This window comes from Homo sapiens, chromosome X (assembly GCF_000001405.40).
Source record: "Homo sapiens chromosome X, GRCh38.p14 Primary Assembly".
Taxonomy (NCBI): Eukaryota; Metazoa; Chordata; class Mammalia; order Primates; family Hominidae; genus Homo; species Homo sapiens.
The window spans coordinates 23,884,352-23,908,497 of NC_000023.11; the positions used below are offsets into that span (position 1 = coordinate 23,884,352).

At 43.3% G+C, this 24,146-nt stretch overlaps 2 protein-coding genes across 10 annotated transcripts in view, besides 3 other annotated features; one reads left to right on the plus strand and one right to left on the minus strand.

Moving 5' to 3' along the window:
• APOO (apolipoprotein O) overlaps positions 1–23,587 on the minus strand; it is a 74,586-nt gene extending 50,999 nt beyond the window's left edge. For 5 of the 7 annotated variants that reach the window (NR_026545.4, XM_011545587.4, NM_024122.5 and 2 more), the window contains exon 1: positions 23,343–23,587. Coding sequence is in view for 6 of the 7 variants with exons in the window: in XM_011545587.4 (XP_011543889.1) it covers positions 23,343–23,351 (9 nt within the window). In the remaining variant the exon portion in view is untranslated. Of the gene's footprint in view, positions 1–19,423; positions 19,992–23,342 lie in introns of those variants that run through there. The other 2 variants (XM_011545586.3, XM_011545585.3) reach the window with 2 other exon arrangements.
• Positions 3,051–3,228: a silencer, noted in NCBI's record as "fragment chrX:23905519-23905696 (GRCh37/hg19 assembly coordinates)". NCBI's record gives its function as "represses an EF-1alpha promoter that drives an FKBP-Casp9 reporter gene in an ReSE screen in phorbol 12-myristate 13-acetate-treated (for megakaryocytic differentiation) K562 erythroleukemia cells {active_cell/tissue: K562(+PMA)}" and the evidence as "EXISTENCE:reporter gene assay evidence [ECO:0000049][PMID:32094911]".
• Positions 22,987–23,156: a silencer, noted in NCBI's record as "silent region_20707". NCBI's record gives its function as "represses an Ori minimal core promoter by ATAC-STARR-seq in GM12878 lymphoblastoid cells {active_cell/tissue: GM12878}" and the evidence as "EXISTENCE:reporter gene assay evidence [ECO:0000049][PMID:35858748]".
• Positions 23,337–23,546: an enhancer, noted in NCBI's record as "active region_29494". NCBI's record gives its function as "activates an Ori minimal core promoter by ATAC-STARR-seq in GM12878 lymphoblastoid cells {active_cell/tissue: GM12878}" and the evidence as "EXISTENCE:reporter gene assay evidence [ECO:0000049][PMID:35858748]".
• Positions 23,581–24,146, plus strand: part of CXorf58 (chromosome X open reading frame 58) — a 31,578-nt gene continuing 31,012 nt past the window's right edge. For 2 of the 3 annotated variants that reach the window (NM_152761.3, NM_001169574.2), the window contains exon 1: positions 23,655–23,978. The gene's annotated coding sequence lies outside the window, so the exon portion shown is untranslated. Of the gene's footprint in view, positions 23,979–24,146 lie in introns of all 3 variants that reach the window. The other variant, XM_011545473.3, reaches the window with a different exon arrangement.

Here is a 24,146-nt window from a genome sequence, read left to right on the forward strand (position 1 = left end):
ATTGAGATAGTTTAATAGGCAAAATTAGCAGGACTTAGTGACCAAAGGGAAAGGAAGAGTGACGATGACCTTGGTTTAATTTTTATTTTCATTTATTTTAATTTTTAAACTGACAAGAATCGTGTATATTTATTGTGTACAACATGCTGTTTTGAAATATGTGTACATTGTGGAATGGCTAAATTGAGCTAATTAACATATGCACTACCTCACAAATTAATTTTTGTGGAATCTAAAAAGGTTGAACTAATGGAAGTAGAGAGCACAATGGTGGCTACCAGGGCAAGGGCTGGGGGGAGTTGGGGAGATATTGGTCAAAAGTACAAAGTTTCAGTTAGGAGGAGTAGTTCAAGAGATCTGTTGTACAACATAATGACTAGAGTTAACAACAATGTATTGGATTTTCGAAAATCAGGAAAAGAGTAGATTTTAAGTGACCTTGGGGTTTCCGATGGGTTTTTCTAGTTGGGTGGTGACACAGCATTCCTGAGAGAGGAAGTAGAAAAAGAGGGGCAAGTCTGAGGGAAAAATGATGAGTTGGTTTTGGACATGTTCCAGAGACCGACAGACAGCTAGAGGTCTAGTCATCTATCTATGTATCTTTTATTTTACTTGAAAAGCTAAAGTAGGCAAACTTAGAAACTGTTGTCTTTTGGAAATTAAGAAAAAGTTGACCTGAAATTTTAAGTCCATAAGAACATGTTTTTTGGGTCTGGACTTCCTCAGCACTTCAGGGGTGTATTTATTTCTCATAAAGCACAGTAAGGCCGGGTGCGGTGGCTCACGTCTGTAATCCCAGCACTTTGGGAGGCCGAGGTGGGTGGATCACCTGAGGTCGGGAGTTCGACACCAGCCTGGCCAACATGATGAAATCCAGTCTCTACAAAAAACACAAAAATTAGCCAGGCGTGGTGGCAGACGCCTGTAATCCCAGCTACTCGGGAGGCTGAGGCAGGAGAATTGCTTGAAACTGGGAGGCAGGGGTTGCAGTGAGCCGAGATCGTGCCACTGCACTCCAGCCTCGGCAAATATATATATTATATATATATATAAATATATAACTATATCTATACATAACTATATATATATAGCAGAGACAGGGTCTCATCATGTTACTCAAGCTGGTCTCGAACTCCTGAGCTCAAGCAATCCTCCCGCCTTGGCCTCCCAAAGTGCTGGGATTACAGGTGTGAGCCAACACACTCAGCCTATCTTTGATTTTAAATCTCAACTCATTTCCTTTAACATTTTATTGGATTCTTAATTATTAATTTCTACTTTACCTTCCCCTCTTATCTTACTTGTTTTTCTAGTTTTAATATTATTCTAGGCCTGCCTCCCTTTACTGCCTAAACTGTTTTCTTCTTCTTCCTCTTCTCCTATTAGTTTTCCTCCCTAAGCCTACCCTGATACCCATTCCACAGCAAGAACTGTGGCCACAAGGGTGGTAGCACCAAAGAAAGCTGGCTCCTGCAGCGGCCTTTTCAGCTTCCAGCAGGCTCTCAACAGACAAGCAAACAAAACAAAGAAAAAGCAAACCTCACCCCAGGAGACCTGGGAGACCTACAAATGAACACTCCCCAGGACCATAATTCTTAGTTTGCAGAGAACACATGATTTACTCGAGGATTTCTCAAACTCAGCACTACTGACATTTGGGTTGGGTCCTTCTTTGTGGGGCTGTCCTGTGCACTGCAGGAAGTTTGGCAGCATCCCTAGCCTCTACCCACTAGATGCCAGTAGCACCTCCTCCCAGTCACGACAGTCAAAAACATCTCCAGACACTGCCAAATGTCTCCTGGGGAGCAACTCTCCCACTGAGAACCTCTGATTTACTTGAGTAAGTATTACTTTCTGACATCTCTCACCATCTAGACTTGAAGAAAATCTGTATGTTTTAAAACCCATGGCCTCAAACATAGTGAGAAACCAGAACAATCACTACTAGGCCGGGGAGGTGGGAGTTGGAAGGAAGTGGACTTACTGAGAAGTGGCACAAGTGAACTTTCTGGGGTGAAACAATCTTGATTGGGGTATGGGTTATTCAAGGTATATACATTTGTCAAAGCTCAAATTGTACAACTAAGACTGTACAACTTAAAAATCTATGTATTTCACTCTATGTAAATTAGACTTTTTAAAAAATCCATCAGCTCTAGCACACCTAATCCATGCCAAGCTCATTCCTAAGGAGCCAGCCACACACCTGACCATGGTAAGGAACTGGTATAGATCTGTGTGATGGAAACCCATGGGAGGAGCCTTGGTAAAAGGTCCCCAGGTAGACATGGCTGAAGCTGATGCACTCAACATCTTGGCTGATTCATCTTCCTTTTTAGCTTCAAAGGGGGCTCCTCCTGGTGCGAGATGACCCCACCCTGCCTCAGCATGCTCACCACCTTTCCCTCTTAACAGTAAAAAGGAAGCTGGCCAGACCAGATGTCATCACAAATGGCCATCTTCGACACTGTGTGCCTGCCAGGTGGTTATCATAATTTGTTAGGGCTCATATTGAGTATTCAGGCCAACCTATTCAAAATCAGGATTTAAGAAGGGAAAGGCTAAGATGGGTAGAATCACCCCAGGACAGTGTAAGGGCACAAAGAGGAGATGAACCTTCTTCAATCTTTTGTCTCCCCAAGGAAGAACAATCCAGTTCTTTGAAGAAACACAATCAACTTTCAGGGTCTGGGACATAATAAAAAAAAATCTCTAGCCTTATCAACTTTCCTCCTGTTCGCACTCTGGATGGGTTGCTTTGTGAGACATGAACACAAAGGTATTCTCTCTCCATGAGGAGTCCTGACCCATTATGATATAATCGGACTGAATATACCTCCCAAGAAGTGAAATCTCCCCCATACTTTTTCTTTTTCCCTTTTTTTTTTTTTTTTTTTTTTTGCGACAGAGTCTCCCTCTGTCGCCAGGCTGGAGTGCAGTGGCATGATCTTGGCTCACTGCAACCTCCGCCTCCTGGGTTCAAGCCATTCTCCTGCCTCAGCCTCCCAAGTAGCTGGGACTACAGGTGTGCGCCACCACATGCGGCTAATTTTTGTATTTTTAGCAGAGACGGGGTTTCACCATGTTGGCCAGGATGGTCTTGATCTCTTCACCTTGTGATCCGTCCGCCTCGGCCTCCTAAAGTGCTGGGATTACAGGCATGAGCCACTGTGCCCGGCCTCCCCCAAACTTTTTCTGATGCAGGGCTGTAATCTCTAGACTGCATGTACCCACGCCCTGAGCACTCCCTTTCCCAAGTGATAGTCCTTGAGAAGCCTTGTTGCCAGGTACACTCCCTGGTCAGGGCAGATGAGTTGGCTCAGAAAATGAGTACATATGCACCTGCCAAGAACTGATTAGATATGGTCTACTTTGCATTATATGAGTTAGGCTTGCTCAATCAAAGTCAAGCAAGCTCTGTTAAGAGCTGAATCTCCAATTAGTGCTAAGTTACAGGCTAGATCAAAGGTGGCATTTCTTTAGATCCAGCCCCTCGGGAGTATACCCTTCAGTTACTAAATGCCTTTCTTGGCATTCAGCTAGTTGGGGGTCTCAAAGTAAGGACTCTAATGTGTTGGCTTCTCTGAGGTTTTGAATACAGCTGTAAGACCCATAGTCACAGAGAAAACGAAAATTTGGCTTAAAGGTAAACTGGTGGCCCTTAGCTTTGCAAACCTCAGAGGGAGTGTCATTGAGTTTTCTCACTCTTGTGGCTAACTCTTCTTTCTTTCTGGTCTGATCCTACTCCCCAGCAAAGTATCAAGGTACACTCTATCTTGGACCTTAGACTCTCTATGTCTCAAAACTTTTGTTTCGCACAGCCCGCAAGGGGCTTGTCAATGGAAACAGAGCAACCAGTATTGGTGTTGGGTTAGATGAGGCCCTAACAAGAAGTGTAAAGGGGTAGGCTGTCATCATCTTAAAGACATTTGGTTCTTACTCTGTCTCCACTGAAGCTTGCGAAGGACTGATGTTGGCAAAACAAATCTGGTCAGGCAAGCAAGGTTATATATAACAATTAGAAGAGGTCAACCAGGGTTTTATTTCAAAAACAAATATTTACTGCACACCCACATCATGTCAGACATGGTACTAAACAGATAAAACACATAAGCAGACAAGGTCCCTGCTCTTATAGAGCTTCCAGGAAGCTTATGAATTTAATCAAAGACTCAGGCCACAATTTAAAAAATAAATTAACATTCAAAAAAAGATTCAGGGCCCAGCACAGTGGCTCACGCCTATAATCCCACCACTTTGGGAGGCCGAGGCAGGTGGATCACAAGGTCAGGAGTTCAAGACCAGCCTGGCCAACACACTGAAACTCCATCTCTACTAAAATACAAAAATTAGCCAGGCATGGTGGCATGTGCCTGTAGTCCCAGCTACTCGGGAGGCTGAGGCAAGAGAATCGTTTGAACCTGGAAGGTGGAGGTTGCAGTGAGCCAAAATTATACCTCTGCACTCCAGCTTGGGCAACAGAGTGAGATTTCATCTCAAAAAAAAAAAAAAAAAAAAAAGATTCAGGCATAAGATTGAGTTTATTAGGAGGCTGAAGTGGGAGGATCACTTGAGGCCAGAAGTTTAAGACCAGCCTGGGCAACATAACAAGACTCCATCTCTACAAAAAAAAAAAAAAAAATTAGCCAGGTGTTTGGGGCATGCCTATGGTCTCAGCTACTTGGGAGGCTGAGGTGGGAGGATTACTTGAGCCCAGGAGGTCAAGGATGCAGTGAGCTATAATCGCGTCACTGCATTCCAGCCTGAGTGACTGAGCAAGACTCTGCCTCAAAAAATAAAATAAAATAAAAAGATTGAGTTTATCAGTCAGCTCCCTCAGCTTTAAAGGTAGATTCTTAGACACAGTTTACCAAGACATGAATCTGGTAAGGTCGTAAACAAACAAATCATAATGGGTGTCCAGAAGGCTAAACTGTTCTTGCTTTGCAAATAAAAGTACACTGACTGCCCAGAATTCCATAGCTCTGGGATCATGTTGTGATTATGTTCCAGTAAAACTGCCTTAAAGACAAATAAAAACCTTAAGCTAAATAAGTCACCCTCAGAATTATTCAGACTCTCATGAATGGTGGGGCTCAAATACCTAACAACTTGCTTTCTTTTTCAACTTTATAGAGAATCTAGTGAATACTCTCTCCCATTTAAAAAAAGGGTGACTCTTTTCTCCCACAATTACAGAACTATTATCTTATTAGACTTCCATTTATAATATATGCCAGCTTCATGATAGAAGGCTTTTGCAGGCCTGTGTACACAAGAGGTTTCAGAATCACCTGGGGAGTTGTTTTTTTTTTTTTTTTTTTTTTTTAAGACAGAGCCTCGCTCTGTCGCCCAGGCTGGAGTGCAGTGGTGCGATCTTGGCTCACTGCAAGCTCCGCCTCCTGGGTTCATGCCATTCTCCTGCCTCAGCCTCCTGGTAGCTGGGACTACAGGCACCAGCCACCACGCCTGGCTAATTTTTTGTATTTTTAGTAGAGACGGGGTTTCACTGTGTTAGCCAGGATGGTCTCAATCTTCTGACCTCGTGATCCGCCCACCTCGGCCTCCCAAAGTGCTGGGATTACAGGCGTCAGCCACCGCGCCTGGCCCACCTGGGGAATTTTTTAAAAGCATAGATTCTAACAGCTTCCCCCAGAGTGTCTGACTCTGAATCTAAGAGGGGCCCAAGAATCTATTCCCAAGATAAGCAAAGTTTTGAAAACCACCATTCCACAAACATATGCTTAGAGAACAGTTATTCAACTTAAGTTTGTATAAGCACTCAAACATACTTTTAAAAACATTTGAAAGTATAAAATGAAAACTGTCCTAAATATAAAAAGAAACAGAGTGACTGGCCACCCACTAGAGAAATTATGACATTTATTTACATTCAAGAAAATCTCTCCCGTCTTAAACAAAACACAACAAATACCCTCCACCCCTAATTCCCTCTCTAACAACTACCTTACCCTTCTACCAACTTCCATTGACAAATTTATTTTAAAAGTAGACTATGGTTAGAAGGCAGAATAGTGGATACCCTTAGCAAGCTGGGTAGTGACTAGAAGGGCCACGAGAAGAGCTTCTAGAGTGCTAGTATGTTTAGTTTGTAAAAATTCACTTATGCCCCGTTTACTTTCCTATATGTATGTTATACAAATGGTCTCAGACTTACAAATGGTTCAACCTTACATGGTGCAGAAGCGATACGCATTCTGTAGAAACCGCACTTTGAGTACCCATATAACCATTCTGCTTTTCACTTTCAGTGCAGTATTCAATAATGTACATGAAACATTCAATAGTTTATTATAAAATAGGCTTTGTGTTAGATGATTCTGCCCAACTGTGGGCTACTGGAAGTGTTCTGAGTACATTTAAGGGAGGGTAGGCTAAATTATGATGTTTGGTAGGTTAGGTGTGTTAATTTTTGACTTAATGATATTTTCAACTTATGATAGGTTTATCAGAATGCAACCCCACCACAAGCTGAGGAGCATCCGCATTTAAGCACAAAGTCAAAAAGGCAGATTCTGTTTGCTTTCTCAATTTTATCTCCTCCTCCCTTTACTACTAAATGCACCTAAAACCTTTCTTCCCAAGACCACCAATAGCCTCCCAGTTGCTAAACCCCACTGGACATCTGGCATCTTGGTTGCACCCTGAAACTGGTGACTACTCTACATCTTCAACCCCTTTCTTTGGCTTACAGGATTCTACCCTATCCCCATTCTAGAGGCTTTCTAGGTACTCTCTCCTCCCCTTTTGGGCCTTCTCTTCCTCTGCATAGCTCTTCAAGGTTGATGAGTCATGGAGTAGTCTTTAACTCTCTCCTCTTCTCACTCCAGGGCAATTTCATTAAAATCTAATTCTTTCTTTTTTTTTTCTTTCAGACAGAGTCTCGCTCTGTCACCCAGACTGGAGTCCAGTGGCCTGATCTCGGCTCACTACAATCTCCGCCTCCCGGGTTCAAGGGATTCTCATGCTTTAGCCTCCCAAGTAGCTGGGATTACAGGCGCCCGCCACCACGCTCAGCTAATTTTTGTGTTTTTAGTAGAGACAGGGTTTCGCCATGTTGGCCAGGCTGGTCTCAAACTCCTGGGCTCAAGGGATCCACCTGCCTCAGCCTCCCAAAGTGCTGGGATTATAGGCGTGAGCCACCACACCTGGCCAAAATCTAAGTCTTTAACTCCCACTCATATGCTACTGATGCTCAAATCAGTATCCCTAGCCTGGGCCTCTCCCTAAGCCTCAGGCTTGTGTGTTTCCTGTGTTTCTAACTCCCTGAGGGACATGTTACCAGGCTTTTCAACTGCTACTTCAAACAGGCTATATCCAAAGGTGACCTTTTTTTTGGAGTGATGGAATATATTATTTCTATTTTCCATGTAAATAATTTAAACTCTCTCTATGTAAGTATATATACACTTACAGTATCTTACCCTTCTACCAAGTTTATATATATGTATATAAACTATATGTATATATATACTTATAGACTTATACATACTATATATACTTAAAAATATAGTTTATATAGTTTAAGTATATATAATACTTTATGTATTTCTATATATAGTTTACATTTATATATTTAAAATGTATGACATTATGCTTTCAACTATCTTTCTCCAAAACTGTTTTTATGAGATTCTCTACCTTATTTAATGATCCTACAAGCCACACAAAGGACAACATAAAAGCAACTCTTTAATGATAAAGAATGAAAATAAATTTTTTTTTTTTTGAGACAGAGTTTTGCTCTTTCACCCAGGCTGGAGTGAAGTGGCGCAATCTCGGCTCAAGACAACCTCCGTGCCCCTGGGGTTCAAACGATTCTCCTGCCTCAGCCTCTCAAGTAGCTGGGATTACAGGCAGCCACCACCACACCCAGCTAATTATTTTTTTTTTTTTTGAGACGGAGTCTCGCACTGTCGCCCAGCCTGGAGTGCAGTGGCGCGATCTCCACTCACTGCAACCTCCGCCGTCTCTCGGATTCAAGCGATTCTCCTGCCTCAGCCTCCCAAGTAGCTGGCATTACAGGCGCCCGCTACCATGCCCAGCTACTTTTTGGAATTTTAGTAGAGACAGGGTTTCACCATGTTGGCTAGGCTGGTGGTCTCAAACTCCTTACCTCAGGTGATCCACCTGCCTTGGCCTCTCATACTGCTGGAATTGGCCAAGGTGGGCAGTTCACGAGGTCAGGAAATCGAGACCATCCTAGAAACACAGTGAAACCCCATCTCTACTAAAAATACAAAAAATTAGCAGGGCATGGTGGCGGGCGCCTGTAGTCCCAGCTACTCAGGAGGCAGAGGCAGGAGAATGGCGTGAACCTGGGAGGTGGAGCTTGCAGTGAGCCAAGATCGCGCCACTGCACTCCAACCTGGGCGACAGAGCGGGACTCCGTCACAAAAAAAAAAAAAAAGTGCTGGGATTACAAGCGTGAGCCACCGCGCCTGGCCTCAGTCAACCTTTTCTGCAATAATTTCCATTCTGACAGCATTTTTCACTCGAAACAAAACTATTTTAATCTGATTCTAATTATTTAGGAGGTAAAAATCTGAAATGGGTTTTTTACAAAAAAAAAAAACAAACTATGAACACTGACAATACTTTTGAGATTATTCTTATTCTAAGTAACCAACACAAAAAAAAGAACTATGTGAAAGAACTCAGAATACAACAAAATGATGAAGACAATAAAAAAATTTTGTCAAAATCAGGCTACACTGTTGTCCTCAGTAACGTGTTGTAAATTGAATGAAAAATCAAGAGAAAGGCCGGGCGCGGTGGCTCACGCCTGTAATCCCAGCACTTTGGGAGGCCGAAGCGGGCAGATCACGAGGTCAGGAGATCGAGACCATCTTGGCTAACATGGTGAAACCCCATCTCTACTAAAAATACAAAAAAAAAAAAAACAAAACATTAGCCAGGCGTGGTGGTGGGAACCTGTAGTCCCAGATACTCAGGAGGCTGAGGCAGGAGAAAACCTGGGAGGCGGAGCTTGCAGTGAGCCGACATCACGCCACTGCACTCCAGTCTGGGCGACAGGGCAAGGCTCCGTCTGAAAAATAAATAAATAAATAAATAAAAATAAAAATCAAGAGAAATGAGTCCACAATTCTTGAAACGTCAAAAGAATACAGAATACTCTCCTCCATAAGGAGCATTCAGGACAGTATCTACATTTTATACAGCAATCTTTTATTTTTATATTTTTTATTTTTTGAGACAGAGTTTCACTCTTGCCACCCAGGCTGGAGTGCAGTGCCACAATCTCGGCTCACTGCAATCTCCGTCTCCTGGGTTCAAGTGATTCTCCAGCCTCAGCCTCCTGAGTAGCTGGAATAATAGGTGCCTGCCACCACGCCCAGCTAATTTTTTTTGTATTTTCAGTAGAGATGGGGTTTCTCCATGTTGGCCAGGCTGGTCTCGAACTCCTGATCTCAGGTGATCTGCCTGCCTCGGCCTTCCAAAGTGCTGGGATTATAGGCATGAGCCACCATGCCCGGCCAGCAATCCTTTCTAACATGTAGGGCCACACACCAAACAGAACAGAGGCTTTCTCTGGAAAGGGGGCTGGGGGGAGGTGGACAATAGCAACCTGACCAACTGTACTATTTTGACTTTTTACAAGGAAAAGTATTTCAGTATTACTTACAACATTTTTTTTAAATAGATGTTTTCTTTTCAAAGCAGTTACCTTGATAAATCATATATGGAGTCGGAATTTACTACAACTATTTATATAAATTTCATAAGTGAAATTTATTTTTTAAAATTTATTTTATTATTATTATTTTTTGAGACAGAGTCTCGCCCTGTCACCCAGGCTGGAGTGCAGTGGTGTGATCTCGGCTCACTGGAACCTCCGCCTCCCGGGTTTAAGCGATTCTCCTACCTCAGCCTCCCAAGTAGCTGGGATTACAGGCCCACACCACCACGCCTGGCTAATTTTTGTATTTTTAGTAGAGACGGGGTTTTGCCACGTTGGCCAGGCTGGTCTCAAACTCCTGACCTCAGGCCTCCCAAAGTGCTGGGATTACAGACATGAGCCACCACACCCAACCAAAATTTACTTTTAATATGTAATCATATGGCTTCCATTTCTAAATGCCTTCAGATCACATTTTAAGCCTAAAAGAAAATCAGTCTCGGCCAGGCGCCGTGGCTCACGCCTGTAATCCAGCACTTTGGAAAGCCAAGTTGGTTAGATCACCTGAGGTCAGGAGTTCAAGAGCAGCCTGGCTAACATGGTGAAACTCTGTTTCTACTAAAAATAGAAAAAATTAGCCAGGCATGGTGGAGTGCGCCTGTAATCCCAGCTACTCAGGAAGCTGAGGCAAGAGAATTGCTTGAACCCTGGAGGCGGAGGTTGCAGTGAGCCGAGATCATGCCACTGCACTCCAGCTTAGGCAACAAGAGTGAAACTCCGCTTAAAAAAAAAAAGTAAAGAAAATCAGTCTCGATATATTTTAAATAAGAGTGGTAAAGAATAGAGAATGGGCCGGATTCGGTGGCTCGAGCCTGTAATCCCAGCACTTTGGGAGGCCGAGGCGGGCAGATCACTTGAGGTCAGGGGTTCGAGACAAGCCTGGCCAACATAGTGTGAAACCCTGTCTCTACTAAAAATACAATAATTAGCTGGTGGGCACCTGTAGCCCCAGCTACTCAGGAGGCTGAGGCAGGAGAATCGCTCGAACCCAGGAGGCAAAAGGCTGCAGTGGGCCGAGATCGCACCACTGCATTCCAGCCTGGGTGACAGAGTGAGACTCCGCCTCAAAAAAAAAAAAAGATTCATTATCTCCACACACACACACACAAAGATGAGAAAATGGCATCTGTACGCCTATGTTTATTGCAGCACTATTTACAATAGCAAAGACTTGGAAGCAACCCAAATGCCCATCAGTGATAGACTGGATAAAGAAAATGTGGCACATATACACCATGGAATGCTATGCAGCCATAAAATAGAATGAGTTCTTTATAGGGACATGGATGAAGCTAGAAACCATCATTCTCAGCAAACTAACACAGGAATAGAAAACCAAACATCACATGTTCTCACTCATAAGTGGGATTGAACAATGATAACACATGGAAGGGAACATCACACACTGGGGCCTATCAGGGGATGGAGGGCAAGGGGAGGGAGACCATTAGGACAAACACCTAATGCATGCGGGGCTTAAAACCTAGATGACAGGTTGATAGGTGCAGCAAACCAACATGGCATGTGTACCTATGTAACAAACCTTCATGTTCCGCACATGTATCCCAGGACTTAGAGTAAAATAGAAAAAAAAATTACAATATTAGTCTTCATTAAAACAATCTCTACTGGAACCTTTTCTACATCTCCTAATTAAACGTAGTGTCCAACATAAACTTTTCTTTCTGTTGTGGTGGTGGTGGCGGTAAAGAATCAAGCTTTATGTAAACTTGGTCAATAATAAGATTATCTCATTCTACTAAAAAAAAAAGAAGAAGAAGAAAAGAAAATGGCATTTTTTTTAAAAAAAAAAAAGAGGAAGGGGACTTGTAGTATGATTCCACCGAGTTTTTTGAAAATGTCATACCAAGGGTATATTTGAATATGTCCAGAACGGAGTCTAAAAAGATGTTAGGGCCGGGCGCAGTGGCTCATGCCTGTAATCCCAGCACTTTGGGAGGCTGAGGTGGGCAGACCACGAGGTCAGTGGTTCGAGACCAGCATGACCAACACGGTGAAACCCTGTCTCTACTAAAAACACAAAAATTAGCCGGACGTGGTGGTGCACGCCTGTAATCCCAGCTACTCAGGAGGCTGAGGCAGGAGAATTGCTTGAACCCGGGAGATGGAGGTTGCGGTGAACGAAGATGGCGCCACTGCACTCCAGCCTGGGCAACAGAGTAAGACTCCGTCTCAAAAAAAAAAAATATGATGTTAACAGTGGTTGTCTATAGGTGGTGATATTAAAGGTAATTCTTATCTCTATTTCCTGAAGTTTTTACAAAAAAACCATTGATTTGTTTTGTAACATGCAAAGAACAAAAATGGCTAGCTCCTGAGGATATTATAAAGGTTTGCCACAAAGTTTGAAGATAATTCCAAATGAGGAAGAGTAAAAATGTTTTGATCAGTGATAGAATTTTTGGAATAAATATAATGACAGTATAATTAAATCTATCCTCTCAAAACGACTGTTTTGATGCATTCATTTGAATGTAAAATTTGGGAGCACTCATACTTTAACAATAACAATAAAACCCACAATCATTTCGATCTGTTTCACAGCAAAGGAGGATATAAAGCCAAGAATTTATCTCCCTTTGTCACTCAGGCTGGAGTGCAGTGGTACAATCATAGCTCACTGTGGCCTTGAACTCCTGGGCTCACCTAATCCTTCTGCTTCAGCCTCCCAAGTACCTAGGACTATGGGTGTGACGGAGCACACTCAGCTATTTTTTTTTTTTTTTTTGGTAGAGATGGAGTCTCACTATGTTTCCCAGGCTGGTCTCAAACTCCTGGTCTCAAGCAATCCTCCTGCCTTGGCCTCCCAAAGCGCTGGGATTACAGGTGTGAACCACCATGCCCAGTAAAGTTTAGACTTCAAACAACATTAAAAAAACTCTTCCTAATACAACAAACATAGAACTATTTTATGAGAAATTTTTAATTCTTTAGTTCTGTACTACAGTAATTGGTATTTCCTAGCTCTTTCTCATCCACTGTAAACAGACTACAATCTAAAGAGATAAGCAGAGAAAAAAATGAGGCTGTTTTCAAGACTAATATTATCTTTTTCTCACAGAAAACCAAGTTCTGTTTCATCTTTGGAGGGTAGAATTCACCACAAAATTAGGTCAGCAAAGCAAACAAAATGTCTCATCTGCAATTGTTTCATTTTCTACTCTTTAAAGATAGCGATTAGATTTTATAAAATTCATGTAGAAAAATAATAAACTTGTGCGATAAACAGGAAGAAAACCTTAGGGCCAAAGAGTGAGATAATTGTTCATTTAGGCAGGTTTTGAGTCATCCAGTTGGGCTATACTGGTTTTAAAGACTTGGAACACAGATAATATGTAATTTATCAAGTCCAGAATTTATTTTGAACTTCCTCATCCAGACAGAAATTTACTGCTACTTAAGACTCCTATATATATGTGTTTTTTTCTCTATTAGAATGGCATCCTGGGACCCACTCAATCTTTTCTGAATTAAGGAAATATAGGGAGGAAAAAATCGTTGGGAAACATTTACTTCAAGTTTAGCTTTTCAAATGCATCTGTGTTTCCAAGCAACTAATAAAATGTACATCATTTAATAGGAGAGCTAGTCTGTCAAAGTAAAATCTATCTGGGCAGGGCATGCTGGCTCATGCCTGTAATCCCAGCACTTTGGGAGGCCGAGGTGGGCGGATCCTTTGAGCCCAGGAGTTCAAGACCAGCCTGGGCAACAGGCTAAAGGTGAAACCCCCTCTCTACAAAAAATACAAAAAATTATCTGGGAATGGTGGCACGTGCCCATAGTCCCAGCTACCCAGGAGGGTGAGGCAGGAGGATCGCTTGAGCCTGGGAGGTGGAGGTTGCAGTGAGCTAAGATTGTGCCACTGCACTCCAGCCTGGGAGACAGAGCATGATTCTGTCTCAAAAAAAAAAAAAAAAATCTATCTAGACACAGGTTTCTATCTAGACACATGGCTCTGTCTCAAAAAAAAAAAATCTACCTAGACATGGGTTTCATATCTCTTTTTTTGTTGTTGTTTTTTTTGACATAGGGTCTCATTCTGTCACTCAGGCTGGAATGCAGTGGCACAATCACAGCTCAATGCAGCCTCAACCTCCTGGGCTCAAGTGATCCTCCCATCTCAGCCTCTCAAGTAGCTGGGACTACAGGCAGGCACCACCATACCTGGCTAATTTTTGCATTTTTTGTAGAGACGGGCGGGGTTTCGCCATGTTGCCCAGGTTGGTCTCAAACTCCTGGACTCAAGGAATTCTCCTGCCTCAGCCTCCCAAAGTGCTGGGATTACAGGTGTGAGCCACCACGTCGGGCCTAGACCCGGGTTTCATATCTTAACAGACCACCATGTGCACAGAGAACTCTAAACTCACTAATGAAAACTGCCTTTGACTTCATCTCAGTTATTCATGTGCGTTTTTCTTCTTTAAGGAAAACTGTAAGCCTTTTTTGGAAAAAAAAAATCATGTACAAGACTCAATTCGGTTGATAACCATCTGACCTCATAATGAAAATCTGTGCAAAAATAAGGAACAAAAACAAGTAAAGTAAATGTTTGGACTATACCCAGCAACTTTAACAGGACTCCCAAATGGTGTGACTCCACAAACAGGCTCAGTTCTATCTGCCAAGTGAGGTAAACCATCAACAGACAATGTAGGAAACTTCTTGGAGCCCGTATAATCACTTTTTGCTTACTTACTCACTCACCAGTCTAACCCATGTCACATGAATCAGCATCTCTAATAGGAGAGGAGACTCATTTTCAGCAAGCACAAACAAAAACAGGCTAGTTCACAAGGACTGAAGTTTGTGGAATGGGGGAAAAGAAAAAAAGAACCTTTATTAGTTAGTTTCATATATTCCATTTTAAAAGACTGTTCAGAAGAAGGAATAGACTTCTTTTCAGGAATATCTGAAAAAAGAAACTACTGGGAATTCCTCCACACTAAGGCAATGAACATGCACTTGTGGATCTATCTCTAGCTCCCACAGAGGGGGCTCCTCATCCTCATGGAACCAAACAAAGAAGTCCTTAAGCGGGAGCCAGTGTGGGCTTTGAATAAAACACGCTGCATTGCTTCAAACAGCCAGAAATAGGAAGACAAAGGATAACTGCACTTAAAGTGCCTTTAAAACAATATTCACTTAAAATTCAACTATACTATCCATAATGCATAAAGCTGTATCAGGAAAATATAGCTTAACAATCAAAGTCATAGGCTTTCAGCATACTGAAAACTCTACGACCCTTGCCCTACATTCCTGCTTCTCCAAGTTTTAGTGAACACTGAAAATAAGTTTAAAAACCTACCACATTAAGAAATTGGCACTGATTAAATTTTCTAACAAAACTGGCATGAGGCTATGCAAAAATTAGGAAAAACTCAGCAAAAGTGAAAAATAAATAACTTCCAAATTCTAAAATATAACTTTAGACTAGGATTTTTTTGTCCCTGAAAATATATAAAGTTTCATGCTGTATGAACTAACTGTAAAATTCCACTTAAGCATTATTGGGGAAAATCAACTGATACACTCTTTCAATTCCTTTATTTTAAAGATCTCTTAGTACTTTCTTGTCATATTAAAAATAAGTCTAAACTTTTTGAAACAGATATCTTTGCTATTGAGATTTATTACACACCTAATAACATGCATTTATATATCTAATTTTAAATGTACAATACAAACAAATATGCAAGTTCGTTTCCTAGCCTCTAAGAAGTTCCAGTCTAGCCTAGAAAGGACATGGGTGTGGAACACATATACATATAGATTATAAATTAAACCTTTACGTCATAAAAGTCTACAAATATCAACAGGCCTCATGGGGTAATCAATTCATTTATCATAAATGTCTGGTACATCATCTACTTTTCTCCTCCACTGTGCCTCTAATCTCTCCGTTCTTTTAATGTATCGTTTTACTTCTTCTTTCTCCTCTTCCAGTGTTAGTTACAACTGTGAGGCTATCTGCATTTCAGAAGTAGATAGAAGAATGCTACAGTGTCCTGAGCAGAATTCATTTCCAAATGAGAAGTGAAATAACCCAAGTTAATTCACGTTTTACAGTTGTTAAGTCCAGAGTGCTAACCTGCAAGCATAGATTACTTCAGTGGACAAATGTGATACAAGAGGAACAGAAAACACCTTACATTGATATAGTGCTTTGTAGTTCACGGTTCTTTTCGCATATTATCTCAATTGAATCTCCCAACAATCCTGTGAGATACAGAGGGACATACTACTATCCCCACAGGATCATGATCAGAGGACGCTGAGAGATTAAGAAATCTCAACTGGCCCGGCATGGTGACTCATGCCTGTAATCCCAGCACTTTGGGAGGCCAAGGAGGGCAGATCACTTAAGGTCAGGAGCTCAAGACCAGTCTGGCCAACATGGTGAAACCCCATCTCTAATAAAAATACAAAAACTAGGCCAGGCGTGCTGGTGCATGCCTGTAGTCCCAGCTACTTGGGAGGCTAAGGGAGGAGACCGGCTTGAACCCAGGAGGCGGAGGGTGCGGAGAGCCAAGACTGCGCCAGTGCACTCCAGCCTGGGTGACAGGGCAAGACTCCGGCTCAAAAAAAAAAAAAAAAAAAAAGAAATCTCAACAAGGTCGCTCAGCCAGAAACACAACTAGAACCTGAGGCTGAAAAGATTGCATCCAGAGCTACAGAGCAGTTTTTTCTTCGTCTCTGTGATCCACTGTCTAACTTCTTCGAAAGGTAAGAAAGGAAAAAGAAACAACCAATTGATTCTGCACATAAAAAATGTATTTATGTGAGTAAAAATGTAGTTACTATAATTCCTCAAGAAGAATTCCCTTGAAGATGCTTAAACTGTTAGGGAAAAAAAACCTTCATTATCTTTCCAAATATGTGGCTTTTAAAATAATGCTCAAGTATAAAAGTTACATTACTCTTCCAATTTACAGATGATTTTCCTTTTCCATTTAGCATTGTAATTCTCCGCGCAGTTCTAGTAACATACTAGTAACATGGTAAGAAAATTAATTTCAGGAAGACAGGCAATGTAAGTATTACACTAAGCCACAAAGAATGTGTGAGGTAATAACACCTCATAGTCATGGACATGTTCACTCAGGCTCCTTGGTGTGGTGAGCTCTGAGTACAGGTCATGTTATTTGCCCTTGAGGAAGGAAGTGACACAGACCAGTTTTCACTAGGCCACCTTCTTGCCCTGGAGGCTTCAGTTAGCAGCTGATGATTTCCCAATTTCCAGCCCACGTCTGTGGCAGGAAAAGTCCATACCCTGGGGTTCTACATCAACTGATTTCCCCCTTCCAATGCCCAGATATTTCAGCAAGCCCAACCTGTTCAAAACCAAACCATCACCTCCCCCTCAAACCAAATTCAACCTTCTTCCACTTTCCCACCTCAATGAATAGTTCCCACCTCAATGAATAGATCCCACAGTCAAAAGTCAAAAGCCTGGGCAGAAACCTTAATTTATCCTTCTCCCTCATCTACCACATCCAACTGACTACCAAGTTTTGAAATAAAAAATACTTTTGGAGAGCCCCAAGACCGTGCACCACCGTAACACAGGTAGTTACAAGATGCCATCTTACAAGATGCCAACTAAAAGTAACAGCTCACATTTCTTCAGCCCTTACTTTGGGCCAAGCACTGTTCTAAGCTTTGCGTAGGAATGAATTTAATCCACACAATAATTTGAGGTTGGTAAGCATCTCATCCTTGTTTTACAAATGAGGAAGCAGCTACAGAAAACTTTAGTATCTCTCACAAGGAACACAGTGAAGCCCAAGGTCTTAACACTGTTCTGAACACTCTCACACTTCTGTGTCCTTGCATGTGCTTTTCTTCTCTGTTTGGAAGGCCCTTTCAACCTTGTCTGCCTAGCTCCAAAGATCAGCATAGGCATGTTCTTCTCTATAAAGCCTTCTGATGCCCCCTGCTGTTGCTCTTCCCTCTAAGTCAGTAGATCTCAAGGCTGGCTGCTTGCTCCAAAAACTAGATGCCTAATCCTACCCCTAGAGATTCTTGATGTCATTGGTATAGGTTCTAGACTGGGCATCGGGACTTTTAAAAGCTCCCCAGGTGGCTCTAACATGCAGTCAAGGTTGAGACCCACTGCATCGTTAACGGACCTTTAATGTCTGTGCTGGTAAGTGCATTGTGAGCTTCTGAAATGAAAGTTTCATAATCACCTTGGGGGGCTTTTTCAAAACTAGCAGTTCCTGGACGCCAACTAAAAAGTCAGTCAGAACCATGCGCAGGGGCTTGGAAACTGTCTCCTTGAATAATTCTGATTTGTGGCCAGATTTGGGACCTCTCTCCTAGATAAGAACTGGGTCTTTTCACTTGTACCCACCAGGGTCCAGCATGATGCCCAGCCCATAGTTGGACTAGGATAAAATCTGTGTAATGAAGGAAATCTAATAACGTGAATCTGGGTATATGTATCCAATATTCAAACTTCCTGCAGCAGCACAAGGAAAAGCTGCTTCCTACAATGGAATGCAAATACTGGGCAGCTTTTCAAATGTGTTTTTTAATCCACCAATGCCCCCTAGTGACCTGAAGATGAATAACTATATCAAAACATCGCAGTATATATTTTAAGTACAATGTGTACTTAATATGCACATAACTAGTCAGACACACTGCACTTTTACTACCATTGTACTTTTACTACCAACACCTATACTATTAACTCCTTTGCCCTCCAGTTCTAGTTAACCCAAGCTGTTAACTCCCAAACCCCGATCAATCCTACCGTTTACTCCATCCCCACTCTGCACAAACATACAGGAGTGCTCTCAGCAGAGCCCTCAAAGGGTCTGGCCTATCTTTTTGTTCCTTGGTCAGTGCCTCTCCCAAATCCCACCATGTTCATAAGACCATCCATCTCGAAAACACAAGAACCATTCATCTACCGATTGGCTTCAATTCTTGCTAGTCAAAGGGGACCAACGAAAACTATAGAACTAGTTAAAAAATGGAGAATCTGGCCGGGTGCGGCGGCTCACGTCTGTAATCCCAGCACTTTGGGAGGCTGAGGCGGGTGGATCACAAGGTCAGGAGTTTGAGACCAGCCTGGCCAGCATGGTGAAGCCCCGTCTCTACTAAAGATACAAAAAATTAGCTGGGCATGGTGGCGCGCACCTGTCAATCCCAGCTACTCAGGAGGCTGAGGCAGAGGAATTGCTTGAGCCCGGGAGGCGGAGGTTGCAGTGAGCAGAAACTGCGCCACTGTACTCAAGCCTGCGTGATAGAGCGAGACTCCATCTAGAAAAAAAAAAAAAAATGGAGCATTTGAGGCCGCATCCCAGACCTACTGAATTGGAATCCATTTTAACAAGAGTCACATGCCCATTAAAGTTTGACAAGCACTGGTTCTCAACTACTAGACCTAACATCACCATTTTATGACAAATATTTTCTGACACTCTTCTGGTATCCTGAAATAAAATTCATCACTAAGTTACATGCATAAGTCCAAAAAGTAAATCAGTATACTCTGATGGTAGCATAAAGGTGAATAAAAAGGAAAGATTTATGTGAATTATATTTCAGTATGTAAATGTTCAACACAACTAAAGACATAAAGAACAACCCCATTTTCAGTTATAATTTTTGCAAAGTTAAAAACGAAAAAAGAAAAAAAGAACAACCCCACAAGTTTCCAAAACATACCATTCTGTTGAGTCGTACCATTCTATGGAGAACCACTGGTCTACAATCTCTCGCACCTTTCTTTTCCTTCCATCTCTCGGGTGGGAATATCTCTCCCTTGCACAGCTGAGGTATTCTCTCTAGAATCTTGACTGAACATATCCTTCTAGTTACCAAATTCTCTCTCCTTCCCTTGATAGTCAAGCTTATCAACCATCATAGTGTCCACTTACTTGGCCCTCAGTCACCAACCCAGGTTAATCTACCCTTCACTTCCATCAGTAAACCTAAAGTATAAGGATCATGAAAGCTTTCCAAAGTGCCCAAATCAGTGAACACGACTCATGATATGTAACTAACTCATATCTCATCTAGCTTATATCTCCGTCATGGACATTGTTGGTTGCATATCCAGTCTCTATTCTCCCTCTTCCTTCCTAAAAGAACTCCATTGTGTTCATGAATGCATTCCTCTCCCCTGTGATTAAGTGACGCCACCCTGGGTTGATCCTGTTTAGTCTAAGCCAATCAGATCATGGCATTCCTCTGACAACTGTTACAGGGTCAGACAACTGACCTAAGTTGGTCCAATCAGACTGAAGGACCAAGTGTGGGAGTTTTTTCTCTCTCCTCCTCCTCTTGCTCTAGAGAATGAGAAAGTGTGTATGTTACTAGTAGTCATCTTGCAACCCTAAAGGAAACCAACCTGACTGTGGAAACCCAAGAAGAGATGGGTCCTTGATGACACTGGTTTTTTTTTTTTTTTTTTTTTTGGGACGGAGTCTCGCTGTCTCCCAGGCTGGAGTTCAGTGGTGCGATCTCAGCTCACTGCAACCTCCGCCTCCCGGGTTCTTGCCATTCTCCTGCCTCAGCCTCCCGAGTAGCTGAGACTACAGGCACCCGCCAACACACCCGGCTAATTTTTTGTATTTTTAGTAGAGACAGGGTTTCACCATGTTAGCCAGGATGGTCTCGATCTCCTGACCTCGTGATCCGCCCGCCTCGGCCTCCCGAAGTGCTGGGATTACAGGCGTGAGCCACCGTGCCTGGCCTGACACTGTTGACCAACTGAATCAGAGCCTGGAATCCATTCTTCCTCTGGACTTTGTGAGAGAATTTTCCTTACTATTTAAGCAGTTGGGTTTTCCCAGCTGAAAGCATCCTAACATAGCCATTTCTCCTTGAAACTTTTCTCCCTCGATTTTCTAAACATCACTCTTTTCTGCTCCTACTTCTGCTTCTCAAGTCTGGCCTCCCCCTTTCCTCTGCCTACTCCTACATTTTGGTGTCCTCCAAGGTTTGTTGTGATCTTTTCTACCCAAAGTACATGTTCACCTGAAATAATCTCAGTTCAGTCGGGCGCGGTGGGTCACACCTGTAATCCCAGCACTTTGGGAGGCCAAGGCGGGCGAATCACGAGGTCAGGAGTTCGAGACCAGCCTGGCCAACACATGGTGAAACTCCGTCTTTATTAAAAATACAAAAAAATTAGCCAGGCGTGGTGGCGGGCGCCTGTAATCCTAGCTACTCAGAGGCTGAGGCAGGAGAATCACTTGAACCCAGGAGGCGGAGGCTGCAGTGAGCCAAGATCGCACCACTGCACTCCAGCCCGGACAACAGGGCCAGACTCTGTCTGAAAAAAATAATAATGATAACAATAATAATAATAATAATAATCTCAGCTCACTATGTCTTTCCCTTGACACATCAAAACTGAGCTTCCAGCACTTCCCCCAATGGAATACCACTGATGTTCCCCACCCCTTTTACCTGAAGAACTCCTACCTGTCTCAAAACTAAATTTAAGTGTCCCGTCTGTGAAGCCTTCTCTGAAGTCCCCAGGGGTTCCTTACCTTTTTTTCTGCCGTGGACCTCTTTGGCCGTCAGTGAGTCCTATAGACTCCTTCTCAAAATAATGCTTCTAATTGCATACAAAAAAGTCCCAACTATATTGAAATAATCTTATTTTTTAAACTCAAATATCTGATATAAGCAGTATGTGCTTCTTTACTAGCCCACTAAACAAAAAGATCTAGCAGTGAGTCTTATAACTACCATAGTTCTGAAGTAGTAATGAGCATAAGTGATATTTTGACATCTGCAACAACTGTAATGTAATATGAAAATGTCTGTGACTTGTGCTGGTACTGTGACTTCTACTGGTAACAGGTACTGCTAATACTACTGTGATTTGTTACAGTAGGAACTTGTAAAATGAATGGCCCCCAGCGAAGTGCACCAACTCATATCTATGACCTTGTGTGGTTCCCCACCATATCAACTCTGGACTTGGCTACGTGACTTGTTTTGACATCAGCAAACATGATGCTGTGTTTGTGCCTTGGGACTTGCCCTCTTGGAAGTCAGTAACCAAGTGAGGAAGTCCAACCTAGGCACATGGAGGGGCACCAAGCCCCCAGACATGGGAGTGAAGCCAACTTTCAGTCAAGTCACCAGCAGAACTGCCCAGCCAACCCAGATTTTGAGAAACAATTCTTGTTTTAAGGCACTGGTTTGCAGTGATTTGTTACCCAACAATAGATAACTGAGACATTACCCATATGCGTAACTAAAGGAAGTGCTCAATTCCAATTGGAGATTGCTAAAAATAGTTATGTTTTTTCCCCATCAAAGTTCAGGGATCCTCTGAAATCTATGTGCAGATCCTTTGAGGAGCTGAGGGCCCCAGGTTAGGAACCCCTGGTTAAGCCAAGTGGATCCTGCTCTCCTTTTTACTACTTTACTACACTGTTGGTACACATATAGTTAAACTGGCCACAGCATATCTTTCCTTGTTGTAACCCTGAAATGGAGCTGAGCTCCTAGCACATAACAGGTGTTTAACACACAAATTTATCAAATGAATGTTGATTATAGGATCTGTCTTCCTGACTAAACTGTGAGCTGCCTGAAAACAGAGTAAGAGCAAATACTAGGCCTTTTCCAAGTGCTTTACACATACCAACTTACTCCTTATAACAACCCTATGAGGTAGATGTTATTACCCCAACTTCACCAAAGGAAGATAGGCACAGTGACTTGCCCAAGGTCACACAGCTAGAAAGTGGCAATGCCAGGACTAGAAGGCAGAATGCATGTTCTGATTTTACAGCCTTTATTAACGTACCCAAAGCACATTGCAGAGCTCAATAAAACTTTTAAATGAATAGTACAATTCTGAGATTTCATTAGCACTATTTTATGGGTACTATGCTTCTTGAAGACTCAATTTTGTAGATTAATTTCTGGTAGCCTGTGATTTTTTATGACAAAATACATATAATTTACTTTTTAAAAAGTAGAATAATGGCTTTATGCTAAAGTGCAGATTTTCGAAATTAAGTCTTCATCGTAAAAGTCGATTTTTTTCCAAAGGACACGAGTTCACAAAACGCAGGGAAGGGGGTCCACTGGCCCGTATTAAATAATGTTCCCTGAGGAGTGGAGCAAAGCTCCAGCTTCCCTCGTCACCCAGCCATCCCACCCCAGCCTCCCCCATACCCTGCACAGCTTCTCCTAAAATGACCCTCCCCCATCCACACATCAGGTTCTGAAACCTGACCCTGCCAGGCAACTAAAGCCGCGAACCCCACAGTGCCCTGAGCTGGCCTCACCCTACCCACGATCCCAAGAGGGTACTAGCCGAGGGGATGGGTACTTTGGGGGAAGGCACTTTAAATTTTCAAAGTGTTTAATTCACGAAAGCACAACCCAAAGGGCCGCCCCCACCCACCCGGGGGTCTCCCGCCTCCGCCCGGCAGCCGCTCATCCCCAGTAGACCAGTGAATGAACCGCGGGGCCGGGACGCAGCCGGCCCAGTGGCGGGAAAAGCCTCGGGGTGAGCCAGGCCTGGCTGCAGAGAGGCCCCAAGAGAGCGCGGGGAGGGCTCGGGCGGCCGGGAGGGGGCGGTGACAGCTGTGACTCGACTCCACGCTCTCACCTTGAACATGTCGCTGGCAGCGGAGGCTCCGGCAGGGTCACCCCGGCCTCGGCCACGCCCACTATAGAGAGGTGACTACGGAGGCCCGGTAGGGCCTTGATTTCTCCAACCGCAAGCAGGCAGCGGTGCGGGTGACGGCCGTACTGCAAACTCGGTGCGGCGAAGGTTTAGTTCAATCACCCGGTTCTAGAAGCCGCGTCGCTGAGCCGCAGCGCGTCGCGCCCGGGCAGCGGGTGAACGCAAACCCCGCCCTCCAGGAGGCTCCGCCCCTGCGCCGGCGGTTGCTAGGCGGCAAGAAAGCGCCGGCTCTGTGTGGACGGTACGCGGAGGCGCGAGGAGGGAGGCGCCTGGCGTTGCCGCGGCGCTGGGAAACTGTCTTTGCAGCGGCGACTGGGCGCCCAGCGGCGTGTACTGGGATTTCTGTGAGCAGAGGCTGCCGAGAGGGGGCGCTTGGAGGGCCACCGGCGGCTTCGAAAGCTTCGCAGCCGGAAGCCGCCGGTTGGCGGCCTGGATTTACCTTACGAAAGGTTTTAACCAAGGACTTGAGGTTTCTCAGGTTTTAAATTTAAACTAATATGCTGTGTCCTTTAATCGGAAAAGGCTCTGACCTTATTTTTTCCCGTTAAGAAACAAGCGGTAAGCCTCCTCTCTGGAAATCAAATGTTTGTCCCTTAATACTTGTAGAAGTAACTGATAATGGCAATAATTATCTTATTAACAAGAGTAAACAAGCACTGATACAGCACTTTGATATGCGCAGCCCTGATCTAAGTTCTTTATTCACATTCATCTAATCTTTCCAAC